Source organism: Homo sapiens, chromosome 5, assembly GCF_000001405.40.
Source record: "Homo sapiens chromosome 5, GRCh38.p14 Primary Assembly".
Classification (NCBI taxonomy): Eukaryota; Metazoa; Chordata; class Mammalia; order Primates; family Hominidae; genus Homo; species Homo sapiens.
Window position 1 is genome coordinate 65052417 of NC_000005.10, and position 19721 is coordinate 65072137.

Below are 19721 nucleotides of genomic sequence, written 5' to 3' on the forward strand. Positions count from 1 at the left end.
TTATAGGAATTTTTAATATACTCTGGATACTAGTTGTTTGTATATCTGTTGAAATATTGTCTTCATCTTTTTGATTTCTCTTTTTATTCTCTAGATAATGTCTTTCAATAGCAGACATCTAACAGAATTAGATTTTCCCATTTTTATTTTATGGTTTAGGTTTTTATATCTTGCTTAAAGAATTCCTTCTTTACATTAGAATATCATAAATATATTGTCCTAATTTATCTTCTAAAAGTATTATATCTTTGCCTTTCATATTTAAGTCTTAACTCCACTTAGACATGGTGTTTGTGTATGGTGTAAAGAGAGACCTAACTTTAGGTTTCTCTATGTGGGTATCCAATTGTCCCAACACTATTTCTTTCTTTCTATGCTGATCTATTAATACAGTGGCAATTCAGTGTTTTTCTTGGTACAAACTTATGGGATACATGTGAAATTTTGTTACATGTATATAATGCATACTGATCAAGTCAGAGTATCAAGGATGTCCATCACCCAAGTGCAATATATTTTTGTTAGCTATAGTCATCCTGCTGTGCTATCAAACACTGAATTTATTCTTTCTACTTTACTATATGTTTGTACCCTTTAACCCACTTCTCTTCACCCCCCTGCCAAATCACCCTTCCTGGTCTCTGTTGTCTATCTTTTCACTCCCTACCTCCATGTGATCAAATTTTTTAGCTCCTACATAGGAGTGAAAAAATGTCTTATCTGTCTTTTTGTGCCTGGCTTATTTCACGTAACATAATAACCCCCAGTTCCATCTATCCTGCTGCACATGACATGATTTCATTCTTTATTATGGCTAAACAATATTCCATTGTGTGTGTATATGTATATATACACACATACATATATACATACATATATATGCATATATATGTATATATGCATATATATGTGTATATATATGTGTATATATATATGTATATATATATATACACACACACCATACTTTCTTTACTCATTCTTTTTTTGATGGACACTTACATTAATTCCATAGTTTTGCTATTGTGAATAGTGCTGCAATAAACGTGCAAGTGCAGGTATCCCTTAGATATAGTGAGTTCTTTTCATTTGGGTAGATTCCAAGAGTGGGATGGCTGGGTCTAATGGTAATTCTATTTTGGTTTTCTGAGAAAATTCTATACTGTTTTCTACAGTGGCTGTACTAGTTTATATTCCCACCAACAGTGTATAAGAATTCCCTTTTCTCTGTATCCTCACCAAACATCTGTTATTTTTTATTTCATAATAGCCATTAGGGTAAAGTAATATCTCATTGTGGTATTAATTTTCATTTCTCTGATTATTAGTGATGTTGAGCATTTTTTTCACATACCTGTTGGCCGTCTGTATGTTTTCTTTGGAGAAATGTCTACTTATATCCTTTGCCTATTTTTAAGGGGATTATTTGTTGTTGGTTGTTGTTTTTCCTGTTGAATTGCTAGAGTTCTTGTAAATTCTGGATATTAGTCCCCTAATAAATGAATAATTTGCAAATATTTTCTCCCATTCAACAGGTTATCTTTTCTCTGTTGATTATTTCTTTATTGTGCAGAAGGTTTTTTGTTTAATTAAGTTCCATTTGTCTATTTTTGTTTTGTTGCCTGTGCTTTTGAGGACTTAGTCATAAATTGTTTGCCTAGACCAATGACTAGGAGAGTTTTCCCTAGGTTTTCTTCTAGTATTTTAATAGTTTTGGGTCTTATGTTTAAGTCTTTAATTCATTTTGAGTTGATTTTTGTAAATGCTGAGATAGGGGTCCAGTTTCATTCTTCTGCATATGAATATCCAATTTTCCCAGCACAGTTTTTTCAGGAGGGTGCCCTTTACCCAATGTATGTTTTTGGCAGCTTTTTTGAAGATCAGTTGGCTATAAGTATGTGGCTTTATTTCTGGATTCTCAATTCTGTTCCATTGGTCTATATATTTTTATACCAATACTACAATACTATAGCCTTGTAATTTTTTTTTTTTTTTTTTTTTTTTTTGGAGACAAGGTCTCACTCTGTCATCCAGGCTGGAGTGTAGTCTCAATCTTTTGGGCTCAAGTGATCCTCCCACCTCAGCCTCCCAAGTAGCTGGGACTACAGGCATGTGCCACCACACCACACCCAGCTGCTTTTTTTTTTTTTTTTTTTTTAAGTAGAGATGAAGTATCACTATGTTGCCCAGGCAGGTCTGAAACTCCTGAGCTCAAGCAATCCTCCTGCCTTGGCCTCACAAAGTGCTGAGATTGTAGGTGTGAGCCATCACACCTGGTGCCTTGTAATATATTTTGAAGTCAAGTGATGTAATGTATCCAGCTTTGTTCTTTTTGCTTAGGATTGCTTTGGCTATTTGGGTCCTTTTTGGGTTTCATATGAATTTTAGGATTTTTTTTTTCTGATTTTGTGAAGAATGACATTGATATTTTGATAGGGATCGCACTGACTCTGTAGATTGCTTTGGGTGATATGATCATTTTAATGCTATTTATTCTTCCAATCCATGAGCATGGGATGTATTCCATTTGTTGGTGTCCTCTTTCATTTCTTTCATCAGTGTCTTACAGTTTTCCTTATAGAGATCTTTCACCTCCTTGGTTAAATTCATCACTAAGTATTTTACCTTTTGTGCCTATTGTAAATTGTATTGCCTTCTTGATTTTTTTCTCAGCTAGATAATTACTGGTGTATAGAAACACTACTGGGTTTTGTACATTGATTTTGTACCCTGTAACTTTACTGAATTCACTTATGAAAGCTAATAGTTTTTTGATGGAGTCTTTAGTTTTTTTTTTTTAGGTAGAAGATCATATCACAAAGAGGAACAATTTGACTTCCTCTTTTCCAATTTGGACGCCTGTTATTTCTTTCTCTTGCCTTATTACTCTGGCAGAACTTCCAGTGCAATGTTGAATAGGAATGGTGAAAGTGGGCATCTTTGTCTTGTTTCAGTTCTTTTTTTTTTTTGAGACAGAGTTTTTGCTCCTGTTGCCCAGGCGGGAGTGCAATGGTGCAATCTTGGCTCACTGCAACCCCTGCCTCCTGGGTTCAAGCAATTCTCCCACTTCAGCCTCCCGAGTAGCTGGGATTACAGGCATGTACCACCACACACAGATAATTTTGTATTTTTAGTAGAGATGGGATTTACCATGTTGGTCAGGCTGGTCTCAAACTCCTGACGTTGTGATCCACCCTCCTCAGCCTCCCAAAGTGCTGGGATTACAGGCATGAGCCACCGTGCCCAGCCTCAGTTCCTAAAGGAAAGGTTTTCACCTCTTCTCCATTCATAAAGACATTAGCTGTGAGTTTGTCATATATGTCCTTTATTATTTTGAGGTATGTTTCTTCTATTCCTAGTTTGTTCAGAGTTTTCATTATGAAGAAATGTTGAATTCTATCAAATAACTTTTCTGCTTCTATTGAATTTTATCAAATGATTTTTCTGCTTCTATGATCACACAGTGTTTTTTCTTGATTCTGTTGATGTGATGTATCATGTTTGTTGATTTGCATATGTTGAACCATCCCTTGCATCCCTATTATAAATCTCACTTGATTGTACTCTATTATCTTTTCGATGTGCTGCTACATTTGGTTTGTTAGTGTTTTGGTGAGGATTTTTGTTTTTGTGTTCATTGTGGATATTGGCCTGTGGTTTTCTTTTCTGTTTTGTCCTTGTGTGGTTTTGGTATTAGGCTGCTGTTGGCCACATAGAATGAGTTAGGGAACATTCCCTCCTCTGGAATGGTTCCAGGAGGATAAGTATTAGTACTTCTTTGTACATTTGGTAGAATTCAGCTGTGAATCCATCCAGTCCTGGACTTTTCTTTCTGGGAGACTTTTTATTATCACTTCAAACTTGCTACTAGTTATTGTTTTGTTCCAGTTTTCTATTCCTTCCTGACTCAATCTTGGTAGGTTATATTTATGCATTTCTGCTAGGTTTTCTACTTTGTCAGCTTGTAGTTGTGCCTAACAGTTTCTGATGATCTTTTGTGTTTCTGTGATATCAGTTGTAATGTTTCCTTTTTCATTTGTGGTTTTGCTTATGTCTTTTGCTTTCTTGGTTATCTAGCTATGGTGTATCAATTTTGTTTATATTTTCAAAGAACCAATTTTTGTTTCATTGATCTTATGTATTGTTTTATTAGTCCCTATTTCATTTAGCTCTGCTCTGATCTTTATTATTTCTTTTCTTCTGCTAATTTGGGGTTGGGTTTGTTCTTGCTTTTCTGGCTGCTTGAGGTGCATTGTTAGACTGTTAATTTGTAATCTTTCTCCTTTTCTGATGTAGGCATTTATTGCTATAAACTTCCCTCTTAGCACTGTTTTTGTAACCCACAGGTTTTTGTGTGTTGTTTCCATTTTCAGTCATTTTAAGACCTTTTTTGATTTTCATCTTAATTTCTTTGTTGAATCAGTGGTCATTCAGTAGTATGTTGTTTAATTTCCATGTATTTGTATAGTTTCCAAAGCTCCTCTTGGTATTGATTTCTAGTTCTACTCCATTATGATCTGAGGAGATATTTGATATGATTTTGATATTTAAAAATTGTTGAGACTTGCTTTGTGGCCTAACATATGGTGTATCTTGGAGAATGTTCTATGTGCTGATGAAAAGAATGTATATTCTGCAGTTGTTGGATAGAAATTTCTGTAAATGTCTGTTAGGTTCATTTTGGTCTAAAATGCAGTTTAAATCCAATGTTTCTTTGTTGATTTTCTGTTTATGATCAATCTAATGCTGAGAGTGCGATATACTGTAGAAGTTCCCCACTATTATTGCATCGCAGTCAATCTCCCTATTTAGATCTAGCAATATTTGCTTTATGAATCTGGGTGCTCTGGTGTTGGGTGCATATATGTTTAGAATTGTATCCTCTTGCTGGATTGATCCCTTTAATTTATCATGATATAATGACCTTCTTTGTCTTTCTTTTTTTTTTTTTTTTTTTTACTGTTATTGATATAAAGTCTGTTTATCTGATATAAGTGTAGCTATTCCTGGTCCTTTTTGGTTTCTGTTTACACGGAATTTTTTTTTTCATTTCTTTACTTTCACTCTAATTGTGTCTTTACTAGTAAGGTGAGTTACTTGTAAGCAGCATATAATTAGATCATGTGGGTTTTAAAAAAATTTTTCATTTAGCCATTCTACATGTTTTTGTTTGTGTTCTATAACTTTTAATTTAAGGGCTATGTGTGCATATTTGTTATATAGGTAAACTCATGTCACAGGTGTTTGTTGTACAGATTATTTCATCACCCAGGTATTAAGTCTAGTTCCCATTAGTTATTTTTCCTGATCCCTCCCTCCTTCCACCCTACCTCCTCCAGTAGGCTGCAGTGTTTGTTGTTCCCCTCTATGTGTCCATGTGTTCTCATCATTTAGCTCCCACTTATAAGTGAAAACATGCAGTATTTTGTTTTCTGCTCCTGTGCTAGTTTGCTAAGGATAATGGCCTCTAGCTCCATCCATGTTCCTGTAAAGGACATGATCTCATTCATTCAACATGTTTTCAGTGGAAATTTTAATTCATGTTTCTGTAATATTATTCATTGTTTTCTGGTTGTTTTATATATTCTTTGTTCTTCTCCATTTGTTTTATTGATTGTTTTTGTGGTTAGGTGAATTTCGGTAGTGATACAATTTGAGTCCTTTCCCTTCCTGTTTTGTGTGATTGCTTTACCAGTAAATTTTATATTTTCATGTGTTTTCATGATGGTAGAGGGTCCCAAGAAACTGTTCACCTTCCCAGCCCACTGTGGTCACTACCAGCATCCATGAAAGCTATCTGGAGGCCCAAAAATTGGCCTACTGATAACTACCAACATACACCAGCATATACCACCCTAGAACACAAAGATAAGCTTACTCAGTCCACTGCTGCCACCAATGGGGTCTGAAGAATGGCTAATATACTTTGTATCTGTGTCCCCTCCTAAATCTCATTTTCAATTGTAATCCCCAATGTTGGAGGTGGGACCTAGTTGGGGAATGATTGGATCATGGGGTGGTTTCACATGAATGGTTTAGCACCATTTCCTTGATGCCGTTCTCATGATAGTGAGTGAATTCTCATGAGATCTGATTTTTTGAAAGTGTGTAGCACTGCCCCCTTCTTTCTTGCTCCCGCTCCCACCATGTGAGATGCCTCAATTCCCTTTGCCTTCCACCATGACTGTAAGTTTCCTGAGGCCTCCTCAGAAGCCAAGCAAATGTCAGAATCATGCTTCCTCTATAGCCTGTGGAACTGTGAGTCAATTAAATTTCTTCTCTTTATAAATTATCCAGTCTCAGGTATTTTTTTATAGCACAGCAAGAACTGACTAAAACAGAGATTTTGTCTCAGAAGTGGGGTAGAGCTATAAAGATACCTGAAAATGTGGAAGGGAAGCAGCTTTGAGATTAGGTAACAGGCAGAGTTTGGAAGACTGTAAAAACTTAGAAGAAGACAGGAAGATGAAAAAGTTTGGAACATCCTAGAAACTTGCTAAATGTTTGTGACCAAAATGCTGATAGAAATGTAGACAGTGAAGTCCAGGCTGAGAAGGTCTCAGGTGGAAATGAAAAATGTATTGGGAACTGGAGCAAAAGTCACTTCTATCATATCCTAGCAAAGAACTTGGCTGCATTGTGCTCCTGCCTTAGGGATCTGTGGAACTTTGAACTTGAACATGATGATTTAGGATATCTGGTAGAAGAAATTTCTAAGCAGTAAAGCATTCAAGATGTAGCCTGGCTGCTACTAACAACATATTACGTGAGCAAAAAAAATGACCTAAATTTGGAGCTTATATTTATATTTATATATATTTTTTTTTGAGAAAGAGTCTCACTCTTGCCCAGACTGCAGTGCAGTGGAACAATCTCTGCTCATTGCAACCTCCACCTCCCAGGTTCAAGTGGTTCTCCTGTCTCAGCCTCCTGAGTAGCTGGGATTACAGGTGCCTGCCATCACACCTGGCTAATTTTTGTATTTTTAGTAGAGATGGGGTTTCACCATGTTGGTCAGGCTGACTAACTCAAACTCCTGACCTCAAGTGATACACTCGCCTCGGCCTCCCAAAGTGCTGGGATAACAGGCATGAACCATCACAGTCAGCCTAGAACTTATATTCAAAGGGAAAACAGAGCATAAAACTTTGGGAAATTTGCAGCCTGGCCATGTGGTAGAAAAGAAAAGCCCATTTTCAGGAGAGAAATTCAAGCAGGCTGCAGAAATTTGCATAAGTGAAAAGGAGCCAAGTGCTGATAGCCAAGACAATGGAGAAGAGGCCTCCAAGGCATTTCAGAGATCTTTGTGTGGCAGCCCCTCCCATCACCGGCCCGGAGGCCTAGGAGGACTGAAAGGTTTCATGGGCCAGGCCTGTGGCCATGCTGCCCTGCACAGCCTTGCTGCACTCTAGGCACTTGAGCTCTGCCATGATTTTGTGTTTCCTGAGGCCTTTCAGCCATGCTTCCTGTACAGTCTGTGGAATTGTGAGTCAATTAAACCTCTTTCTTCATAAATACCCAGTCTCAGGTAGTTATTTATAGCAGTGTGAGAACAGACTCATACAGAGGGCTTCCTGATGTAAGTCACATCTAAGATGAGGCTGAAGGCTAGCAGGGAGAATGAGTCTACAATGTTTCACACACAGAAACCAACTGCAGAACAGCTCAGGCTTTGAGAGGAAGGGTCGCAAGAGTCAAGGCTGGAAGGTGGGCAAGAGCAGACAGGAAAAGGGCTTATCAGTGTCTAAAGTTATTGGAATTCTGTTTAGAGTATGTTAGGGAGCAGTGGAAGTTTTTAAGGAGAGTTTATTTGGAAAAATTGCTCTGGTTACATTATGGGGAATGGATTGCAGGAGGAATGAGGTAACGGCGGCCTGTGGGACTGAGAAATATTTAGGAGGTAGGGCTTTGAATCCAGACTGCCTGGGTTCCAATCCTAGCTCCATCGCTTTTAAGCTGTGTGACTTCAGGCAAATTACTCACCTTCTTTTGCTTCAATTTCCTCATCTGTATACTATGAGAGACTCCACCTTTTGGGTTGTTGTGAGGCTGAAATGAGTTAACATATACCTATATAGGACTTTTCATAATGCCTAAAGCATATTAAGCTCTAAGTCTGATTGTTATTTAAATACACAGGATTTAGTGGATGATTAAATAAAGGAGGTGGGGGAGAGAGAAAAGAGTCAAAGATGGTTGATAAGGTTGAATGATAAAGATGCCAGGTAAAGGCACAGGTTAATTTAGTATGAGGAGCCAGTGAGACATCCATGTAGAGATGTCTAGTTCACAGCCAGATGGCCTGACTTTCTTGTTCACCAAGTATCCCTGAAGCCTAGGACATTAAGAGCTAGAGAATGATAATAAAATTCAGTCCCTGCTTTTGAGGAGCTAAATAAGCAGAATGGTAAGGGTTTGACAGAAGAATCCACTGGGTGCACATGGGATGGCTCCTGCCTAAGCTCAGGTCGGCAGGGAAGACCTTCCAGGGGAGAGGTACTGACCTCGGTTGTGAAAGACAAGTAGGAGCTACTCAGCTGATGGGAGCAGGGAGAGGAATGAGGCAGGGGCTATGCTGGGAGAGAGGACAGATATGCAACAGCACAACAGCAGGAGAACAGTGTGGATGGAACAAAGGTTGCAGAGGAGAACAATGGGAGATAGAACAAGGAAAAGGCAGGGGCTGATCTTATAAATGGTGCTTTGGAGTTCAGACTTTACTCCCTCTTCACAACACGGTGTGAAGTTGACTTTTCTTTTTTTCTCACTCACTTTTTCTAGGAAATGCTGGCTTTTAAAAATGTCTCCAACACATGAAATGCTCTTGCCTCATTAGGAAAATAGTTCATAGTGGATCTATTTTATCAATGTGGTAGGTCGTTACACAGTCTTTTGTGGTCCTGCACTCCTCTGTAATGCTGCATCAAAGGGTTTGTTCAGGTTGGAGGCCTGGCTACCTTTCTCTCTGTAGGATGCCCAGGGCAATTTGATGACAGTCTGATGGTAACAAGGAAGCTTCTCTGCTCCTCTTCATGTGTTAAGTTCATGGCAAAGAGCCAGCTAGCACCCAGACCTTGTTTCCCGTCAAAGCGCCTGTCTCTCTCAACATGATTTTTTCTTTCTGCCTTTGAGGCTTGGTAAAGCCATCCAAAATTTCAGCCAGAAATGTAGCTGCAGGCAAACGCTGACAAAACATCCTTGTGATTTTCCACCATCAGGAGCCCAGGTGTGCCCCTCGTGACTTCATGCCCTTCCCCCTCACACTCCACAGACCTCAGTTACCGTTGACTGCCTGTAGCAGCACCAGGCCACCGAATCTGGCCTGAGGAGACACAGGCTGCTAATTTTCCAACCCCAGTGAAATTTCTTGAAATTTCACACAGGTTTCAAGAAATGGCCGTGCGCACAGAGCAGCCTTCTGAGTAGCTGGGGTTACTCCTGGAAGGCTGCTCTGTGCCCACAGTCACAGCATTCCCAGAGTGGCTAATGTTTCCCCAAGGTGTACTTCCTCCTGGACCCTGGGGTTCACTGGAGATAGGAGAGGCAACATGTTCATTGGAAAGTTCTGTGACTCAATAGGAAATCAGATCTGGGTTCAAATCTTGGCTTAGCCACTCACTAGTTGTGTGATCTCAGAAAAGCTAAACATTTATTTCCTCACCAATAAAATCTTCTGTAAAACATAAGGATGATAATGACTACTTTGAAGAGTTGTTGAATGAATTAGAAACAGTTATATAAAGAGCCTAGTATGAGGTAAGCATTTAGAAACTGACAGCTACCATTAATAGTAGCATTTTGTAGCATTAGAGCCTTAGGGTATTGGACTGCAAGATTTCAGAGTTTCTGAGAACAGAGGGTGGACGTGCACAGTTTCCTGCCAGGTCAGGCAATGAGGTAGGTTAGAGGTAGGGAGGTGATCATACCCTGGCCTCCAGGGATTAAGAGCCTCTCCCTGATTATTGACCTGTTCCCCATGGGACAGTAGGGAGGTTAAAGGGTGTATCTTTTTCAGTAATTCACCTCTTCTCTGGTCAGGGGCATAGATTCCCTAGCTTCAGGGACTCCTCTGTCTTCTTTAGAAACCTCTTTTGCAATTTCCCCAATGCTAATATTTAATACATAATTTTATAATTAGCACGCCCCAGTCACCATCTCCAACTGGTCTGCAACACCCTCTGGAACTTCAGTGTGATGGAACCTGTAATGCTCCCCTGTCCTCCCTCCACAGAGTTGGCTGTGGGAGTCTCTCTCCTCATTCCTATTAGGTCTATTCCAGGCATATCCTCACTCACTGCCGGTTGGTATCTCAATCCAGCTGCATTCTTTGTTCTGGAATCATTCCAAACAGGGAAGGTCAGATATAATGCACATACAACCTACCTTTCAGGCATATAAACTTCAAATCCACTCTACAACTGTGCCTGAGCTGTAGGCGTGGCAGGAAAAAGCAGAATGCTGCAAGGCTCCTCGAGTCAAATCCTTTGGGATTTGAGCAATCTTCCCAGCCAGACGTTACAATATGCTAACACCCTTGTGAGTCATGAAGTCACTCATGGTCAATTCTGTTTGGAGAACAGGATGAATAATTGAAAGTAACTGGGTGTTTGCCTGAATCCAGGCCTAACACAGTATTTATTCTGTTTTTTTGTCTCTTTTTGCCGAAAACAAACATGTCTGGTTTCTCTTCTTCCCCCACTTACCCTGCCTACCCCTTCACTGGATCTCAAAGGAAAGTTCAAAGCCTTTCGCACAGTTAGACCCTATAGGGTGGCCCTATCTCCTTCTCCAGCATCTCTCTGCTTACCTAGAAAGACCAGACATGAGGGCAGCCACATCCTTAGGGTACGGACCGAAAAGCCATAAACTTAATTTTCTTTAACTTTTTCTGTTGGAATAATTTAAGACTTACAGACAAGTTGGAAAAATGAAACAGAACATTCCTCCATTTCCTTAAACTATCTTCCCTTGTTAACATCTTATGTAACCATAGTACAATGATCAAAACCAGGAAAATAACACTGGTACAATACTATTAACTACACTACAGTCTTTATTCAAATTTCAACAGTTTTTCCACTAATATCTTTTTTCTGTTTTAATAGTATCCAATCTGGGTTCCCATGTTGCATTTAATTGTCACAGCTTTTTAATTTCCTTCAATCTGTAATCATTTCTCAGTCATTAATTATTTTTCATGATCTTAACTCTTTTTTTTTTTTTTTTTTTTGAGACAGAGTCTCACTCTGTCACTCAGGCTGGAGAGCAGTGGCATGATCTCTGCTCACTGCAACCTCCACCTCCTGGGTTCAAGCAATTCTCCTGCCTCAGCCTCCTGAGTAGCTGGGATTACAGGCACGTGCCACCATGCCTGGCTAATTTTTGTGTTTTTAGTAGAGATGGGGTTTCACTATGTTGGTCAGGCTGGTCTCAAACTCCTGACCTCAAGTGATCCACCCGCCTCAGCCTCCCAAAATGCTGGGATTACAAGCGTGAGCCACCACGCCCAGCCGACCTTGACTCTTTTAAAGAGTACTGTTCAGTTATTTTGTATAACATGCCTACATTTGGACTTGTCTGATATTTTATCGTGGTTAAATGGATATTATATGGTATTTTTTAGCAAAATTACCACAGACATGAAGGTGTGCCCTTCTCAATGCATCATATCGGGGTAAATGCTGTTGATAGGTCTTATTACTAGTGATGATAACCTTGAACATTATTGATTAGAATTATATTCTTTATGCTTAGCTCCTAAACATTTGTTCCTCTTCTCTAATTATCCTTACTCCCTTGGTGAACTCATCCTTTCTCATGGGTTGGAGTACCTTCTGTCTAATCCCCAAAGATACCCAAATTTATACATTTTTTTCTGGATCTCTCCTCTGAGCTTTAGTCCATATATCCAACAGCCTACTCAATCTTTCCACTTGCTTATCGAAAAAAGGCCTCAAACATAATTCAAAATCAAACCCCTGGCTGGGTAAGGTGGCTCACGCCTGTAATCCCAGCACTTTGGGAGGCCAACGCGGTGGATCACCTGAGGTCAGGCGTTCAAGACCAGCCTGACCAACATGGAGAAATGCTGTCTCTACTAAAAATACAAAAATTAGCCGGGTGTGGTGGCACATGCCTGTAATCCCAGCCACTTGGGAGGCTGAGGCATGAGAATAGCTTGAACCTGGGAGGCAGAGGTTGCTGTGAGCTGAGATCACACCACTGCACTCCAGCCTGGGCAACACAGAGAGATTCTGTCTCAAAAAAAAAAAATAAATAAAATTAAAATAAAAAAATAAAACCACAGAATTTCCAGAAGTCTTCTACAGTTTAGTAAATGGCAATCCATCTTTCCAGTAGCTCAAACCAAAAGGCTTGGTGTCATCCTATTCCTCTCTTTCATTCTCACTACAACCAATTCATCAGAAAGTGCTGCCGGTTCTATATTCAGAATCTATCCAGGACCTAGCCACTTCTCACCACCTTCTCAGCCACCACCTTGATCTAAGCCACCACTACCATCTTCTATCTGGATTATGGTAATTAATGGTAATCTGGATTATTGTCACCCAACTGGTCTCTTGATTTTGGGCTTGTCCTCCTACAAGACAGACTCTGCCTCCTTCTGCAATCATGCCTCTGTGACTTTAACAGCTACTATGCTCCCCTAGCTCTTCCTTGAAAACACCAAGCATGCTTTTGCTTCAAGGCTTTGCTCATTATTTTCTCCCAAAATTTAGTTCCTTTTTTCAGTATTCCCCTGCTTAGTAAATGTGCAACCAATCCAGTTGCACAAATTGGAGTCTTGCAATTCTCCTTGATGATTACCTCTGCCCTATTCCTCATGTTCAATCCATCATCAAACCTTGTGGTTTTTTCCTCCACATAAATAATACTCAAACCTGTCTACTTCTCATTTCCACTGCTGACACCCAGCTTCGCCGTTATCCTCCTATCTGATCTCTTTGGCCCCTGCTAATTGGTCCTCTTCACTGCAGCCCAAGTTGTCTTTTCAAAATGCAAACCTGGTCAAATCACAGCCCTGCTTAAACACTCTTTAATGGCTCATTTTAATGGTTAATTGAGAATATAGACCTCAATTCTTAACATGAGCTACGTAACCTTCCCGGTGTGGCCCTCACTCTCTGTACTTCCAGCCATGCTGATGGTCTCTTCATTCCTCGAATGGCGTCATACTTCCCCCAGCTGCAGCCTTTCCTCTGATTGGAAAGCACTCCACCCACCCACCCTGTCTATCCTCCCCAGCCCCTTTTCTGCCAAGTTGAGACCTGTGCATGCTTCACACTGCAACTTAATTATCATTGCCTTGGTGGAGCCTCTCCTGACTCCTCAGTCTAGATGAGATTCCTTTGTTTCACACCACCAAAGAATCTTGCTTCTTTCCTACAGTACACTCTTTTTCAATAATTCGCCCCTTCTCTGGGCAAGGGCATAGACTCCCCAGCTTCAGGCAACTCCTCTGTCTTCTTTATAAACTCCTGTACAATTTCCCCAATGCTAATACCTAATATATAATTTTATAATTAGCACTTCCCAGTTACCAGCTTCAACTGGTCTGCAACACCCTCTGGAACTTTGATGTGCTAGAACCTTTAATACTTTCCCCTTCCCCCTCAGCAGAGTTGGCTGAGAAGGAGGGTGCCGAAGAAGGGGTTGAAGAAGGTGCTGAAGAAGGAGGTGAGTTATTAAAAAAGAGTCTTCTGTAGGCAAGAAGCAAGATTATAATTGCTTATAATTGTATGTCCAGTAGTGTGATTATTTGTCAAACATCTGTTTCCTCACTAGACTATAAATTTTATTTATTATAGCAGGTAGCAAAGTGCTTGACACACAGTTGGCATTCAACAAATAATTGTGGAACAAATGGATACATAGATGGATTGATGAAAATCATGCTTTTGAAAGACAAATCTAGCAAATCAGTAGAAGGAAGAGAAAGTGAAGGGAAGGAATTCTGAATAATTAGGAGGCTGGTAGAACAACACAGTCCAAGAAAGAGGAAATGAAATCCTAAACTAGGGTGTTAAGAGAGGGAATGGAAAGTAACTGTCTTTGGGGGGACTGTATTGTGCTACTGATATTACCAGGTCAACCACAAATAGCCCAGCAATACCCAAGACTCTGCTCTGTGCCAGCTTCTCACCCCACACGTGGGCGGGGAAATCAACAAACTCTTGGCCTGACCAGCAGTCTCAACACTGAGGGAAGTTCTGTGGCAAGGACAAAAGGCACTTTCTAGGACATCTTGTCTTTTAAAAAGACAAAGCCATTTGAACAACAAAGAAATTCCAGCACCGTTTTCTCATCCTCTGGACCCTGGGGGCTCATAAATAAGCTGGTTCTTGTGCTTTTAACAGCCTCTGATGTATTTGATTACATTTTCAATTCAGATGGTTCCATTACTACAAGAAGCAACTTCATTACCAGGAGGGCCCAGAGCCCAGACTATACTAGCTCTCTGTCATATAATTTAGCCTCAGTCATACCTCAGACAATATTTATACAAGGTCACTTCTTCAAACCATGTCTAGCCTTCCCAAATGACAATATTATTTATGCCAAATGCTTCTCCTAAGGGATGGAAAACTGCCAACTCTGGTTTAATAGGCTATACGGACAGGCTAGAAAAACATCATTTGTAGCACACACAGTTTATGTATTTAGTATATAACTAGGAGTACAGACTGATCATTGGAAACATAGCCGAAAATTGGCCCCAGGAAAAAAAAAAAGCCACAAAAGCACTAAGGTTTGGATCTTTCCTCCCTGATATTAGTTTTGGAAGCCCTAGGTTTAGCCAGAATTATGAATGCACAAGAGAGAGCTGCCTCAGACTTTAGTGGCTACCTGAATATTCAAAATAGGGAGAAAACCTGCAAAAGGAAATTCAATGTGGGCGTATGTGCCCAGCAGCCATCCTCCTGTGGTTGCAAATTAATGTGACCATCCAGTGGAATGGGCAGCCCAGGGGCCTTTGGTAACAAAGAACAGTCTAACCCATTGATGTTAATTTACCAAATTATTCACATCCCACAATCTGGAATAGAAATCAGCAGCCAAAAAATGCCTCCTCTATACCTCAATCAAAACACCTATAAAAATCTAGATACCAGGAGGCAAAGTCTGGAACATAAACTACTTCATAATGTTGCCAATGAGTTATTAAAGTACAGAATGATGGAGCTGTTAGAGGCGTCTGGGCTACCGTTGCTTCCAAGCTCCATTCTTCGTTGTGTCTTTAATAAGGTATTTGGTCAAAATATATTGGTGACAACTCCTTTCTCTTAAAATCTAGCGAAGGATACAAGTCATACATTCCACTTAATCCTTTATAGACCACTAAAACTTAAAAATCTCTCTAGTAGAGAATGAAGAAACTTCAAGTACTGAGCTTTCAAATAAAGTGCAGAATGCCTGTTCATACTTGCATGATTTATTGGTGATGAATATCACTAATAATTTATATATTAATGTTCTTTAAATAGATGCTTACAATTCCTACATATGAATACTGTATCTAATTTAAATTTTAGGAAGCAAAAATGTCAGATTATAGAGCAGTTTCAAAATTCAAAATTATTCCATTGTATTGATAAATTTGGTATGGTTTTTGTTCCTTAAGATGCATTTTTTTAAAAAGCCGTAAGTATCTTTTTGTTTTTAAAAGCTCTCTCCAGAGGAACTGCCACCCATTAACCCATATTTAGTAGTATTTGATATCCTTATCATTACTTATTTACAATAATAGAATTTACTTCTTATAATTAGCATAACCTATGGCCAAGCAATTTCATGCCCAAGGATTTATTTCAGGCCAATAATTTGAGATGTATGCAAAGCTGTATAAGCAAAGACATTCACCACAAAGTTATTTTTTATTGGAAATAAAGGTACAACAATAGAAGACTGTTTAAACAAATTATCCATGTGATATAAACATAAACAATCATGTTATGGAAAAAATATCTAACTCATTGGAGAAAGTTCATAGTAAACTACAAGTGAAAAAGAAGATGACAAAGCAATATGCATCAAATGTACGTTCATATGGAATGACATCAAAATGTTAACCCAGGCTGGACAGTCTTGGGGACACCTGGAAATAATATAGCTAAGCTTTGAGAAGGGGGTTAAGGAACTGATACTGATGTGACCTCATTGACAGCTGTAGGCAGGTGATACTTAGGGGCATTTGAATATTAGAATTTTTACATGCGCTTTTATTGTGGAAGTAAGTAGCTTTCTATGTGTCATTACCCAGCTGAGGAAGGGATAGCATGGACATTTTCTGCTGCTCCTAGCCCAGTGGTGGTTTGGACAGGATCTATATAAGACTCCCTCTTGTCCTCCATTTGAATCTCTTTCCTTAAGTCAAGTGAGAGAAACTTGACTTCAGTATCATGCAGTGAGGTCCCTGTGTCCTCAACAGTAAAGCATTGCCATCTGCTTCCTAACATTACAGTGCTCCTGGGTAACCCCTGAAACTGTCTACATGTCCATATGATCCTGCAACGTAGAGATTTATTAGGATACTGTAAATAAAACTTGGATAAACAGAAGCAAGAAATGAGAGACCCCAAGGGCCAAAAAAGAAAAAAAGAAAGAAAGAAAGAAACGACGTAAGAAAAATAGACCTGCTTCATCAGCTTCTCTGTCAAACAGATATGGCCCATGATTTATTAAAATAGGAGCTTTTTCAAGGCATGATTACAGGCAAGAGAAACCTGAATAAAGCTTTTACTTAACAGTGTCTTTGTGTGCACTGGGGGAAATGTTTCTGTTGGACTTTTCTATTTGGACATCCTGTGGGCTCCCCAAGCTCAATGCTTTTGAAGTAGGGATCATTCACTTCTTTTTCTGAGCATTACTCTTTAGACAGCACCTAAATAGAAGTGACAGGTCAAACAATATGGATGACTAAAATCTCTGCAGTGAGGAGAGATTAGGGAAGAAGACCAAGCATAGACCTTTGGGACAGGCCCACATTTGAGGGAGAGGAAGACAGAAAGGAAATACAAAGAGATCATCCAAGAAGTCAGAGTATGAATGAGTCTTTTCTGTGTTAAACAGTATAAACATCATTTTCTTTAAGGTGAAAATTTTAGTCAAAAATATAGTTTGAAGACAACATAGTTTTGTGTGATGCTAATGGATCTTTGCCTAGGGCTAAAATAATCCAGATGTACTGGATAAAACAAAGTAGAACTATACTTAAATATTTCCAAGAGCTCAACTATTTCACTCTCCTGAAAACCTTAAAAAAATCCTTCTCAAGGAGGTAAGTAAATAATTACAGGCATATAAAGGAGAGCCAAAATCTTGAAAGTATCAAGAAAAATCTACAAATGAGTATACCTTAAAAGGGTGCTACTTTCTTGATAAACCAAAAAATTCTCATTCTTAAAGATTACATTGACATTTTTGCTTGAAAATACAGTATTAAAAGGTGGGTGCTAATGTGGGTTGACTTTTGTTTCCTAGGACTAACGGTTGTCTGGCTCACTCTGCACTGAAGTAACCAAAGGGCTGGCTTATTCAGCAGCAATGCTGGGAGCATCCTTGGGACTAGAAGATTGAAAACTGTTACCTCTGTGGTCTCTGAGGCTGGGTTCAGACTAGAGCAATTGTGCAGTGAATTTGGCCCATCTTGGGGACTTTGGCTCTCAAATGGCAGGGACTGTTCAGACTAAACTAGAGGTTATTTTACAAGGACCATCAAAATTCTCATTTGCATGTGTGAAATTCCTGTGGAGAGGCTGGCTTTTTCAATCAAGCTGGTTGGGCCAGATTATAAGTGGAGTCTGCTAGAGTGCATGTGAACAGCATCAGACAGCTCTCAGCCCTTCCCCGTTGGTCTTTCCCTTCTCTGGTGGAAATCACCAACAGTTTAGTGACACCTAGCACCTTCTATTCCCCAAGTGGAGAAGTGGTCTTCTAGCTAACAGGAAGACATCAGGCTTTCTTAAAACAAATTTTTATCAGCAGCTACCACCACCACAATGATGTTCATTGAGCACTTATATTGTGCTAAGTGTATTACATCCGTCATCTCTTTAGAGCCTCACAATCCTCTATGAAGTTTGATATTTTTTATTTATTTATTTATTTATTTCGAGATGGAGTCTTGTTCTGTCGCCCAGGCTGGAGTGTGGTAGCACAATCTCAGCTCACAACAACCTCCGCCTCCTGGGTTCAAGTGATTCTCATGCCTCAGCCTCCCAAGTAGCTGGGATTACAGGCACCTGCCACCACGCCTGGCTAATTTTTGTATTTTTAGTAGAGACAGGGTTTCACTGTGTTGGCCAGGCTGGTCTCGAACTCCTGACCTCAAGTGATCCGCCTGCCTCAGCTTCCCAAAATGCTGGGATTACAGGCGTGAGCCACTGTGCCCGGGCGATATTTTCATCGCTTTTTTTTTTTAAAGGAGAAAGCTTAGTCTCCATTAAGGTTAACTTATCCCAGGTCACACAGGTTGAAGGAAATGGATTTGGATGCAGATAGTTTAAATTGCACACCCATACTTTTTAAGCCTTTTTACATGATGCCATGTTGCTTCCCTATTAGTAGGCTGGCCTCCACTGGCAATTAATAGCAACAATGAACACTGGGCTCAAAACCAAAAGCCTGGGCAATATGGAGCAAACCATAAATTTGATTAGGAATCAGTTACCTGTGTCATTTTTGTCTTATAATGGAGTTGTGTGGTTCACAGGAGCCCTACCACTTCTGGATGGTGTCATAATTCTCACAAAATCTGGACCTTATGGCAGAAGCCCTGCCCCATCCCTTTATTTTCCATGGTATCCCTTTATTTGATTCCAGCTGCTCTGGGATTCAGAGCTTTCTCCATAGAGGCTTGGGAGGGGGAAGAAAGCAACCTATAAATAAACTCCGAATTCAGGCTGTTGGGGACAGTGCCCATAGCGTTGCAGGTGCACAGTCCAACCCCAACCACTGTTTCCAGTACAACTCTAGGGATTGTGAAGAAAATGGGCCAATTATTCTTCAGCTTGGACATTCTTCTGAGGCCAGGACACCCTCGGTCTGGGAGCTGTGTGATTCAGGTCTCTAATGTCTTTTTCAGGGAGGGAGGCAGCACAGTAGTTAAAAATTTCCCAGCTCTCAGTCCCTCCAGATCATCTTCCACATGTGAAGAGGGGGTGTCCTGCACTCATCACCTGGACAGCAGTCTGGCAACCGCTGGCCAAAGTGGTTTATAACATCTGGATTATTGTTTCCAGATGTGGCATTGAAATACTTGATTAAAAGTTTCACACACAGCATCTTGTAATAACTGACATATGCACAGAGAGTTTCTATCATCTGGAGCCAGGGTGGAAGCAGCAGGGACACTCAGAAGATGAGAGAGAGCAAGGACAGTTTGCAGGATCTAAGCGGCCTGAGAAAACCGTGAGGCTGAGTTTCTACTGGGTCCTCATTAAAGTCAAGCAAATGGAGCTGAGCCTGGTGGAAGTCAAGTAGACTGGACAGAGCAAGGCCTCAGACAGATGTGCATTCAAACACCAACTCCACCAATCACCAGCTGGGATTTCTGTGAGATACCTAACCTCCTGCCTCAGATTTCTCCGTTGTACAATGGAAATGGCCATACCTACCTCAGAGGAGGATTGTGAAGTGTCTAGCACATAGCAGGCACTTAAGAAACAGTTGTTTCTCTTTTTTTTATTATTAGTCAAGTCTAT

General features: G+C 39.9%; 1 long non-coding RNA gene across 2 annotated transcripts in view; it reads left to right on the plus strand.

Annotated features, from left to right (window-relative positions):
* Positions 1-3783: 3783 nt before the first annotated feature.
* LOC107986419 (uncharacterized) overlaps positions 3784-19721 on the plus strand; it is a 43621-nt gene continuing 27683 nt past the window's right edge. Inside the window, exons 1-2 of one of the 2 annotated variants that reach the window (XR_001742681.2) lie at positions 3784-3913; positions 13636-13695. This is a non-coding gene — a long non-coding RNA (uncharacterized LOC107986419). The remainder of the gene's footprint in view (positions 3914-13635; positions 13696-19721) is intronic. The other variant, XR_001742682.2, reaches the window with a different exon arrangement.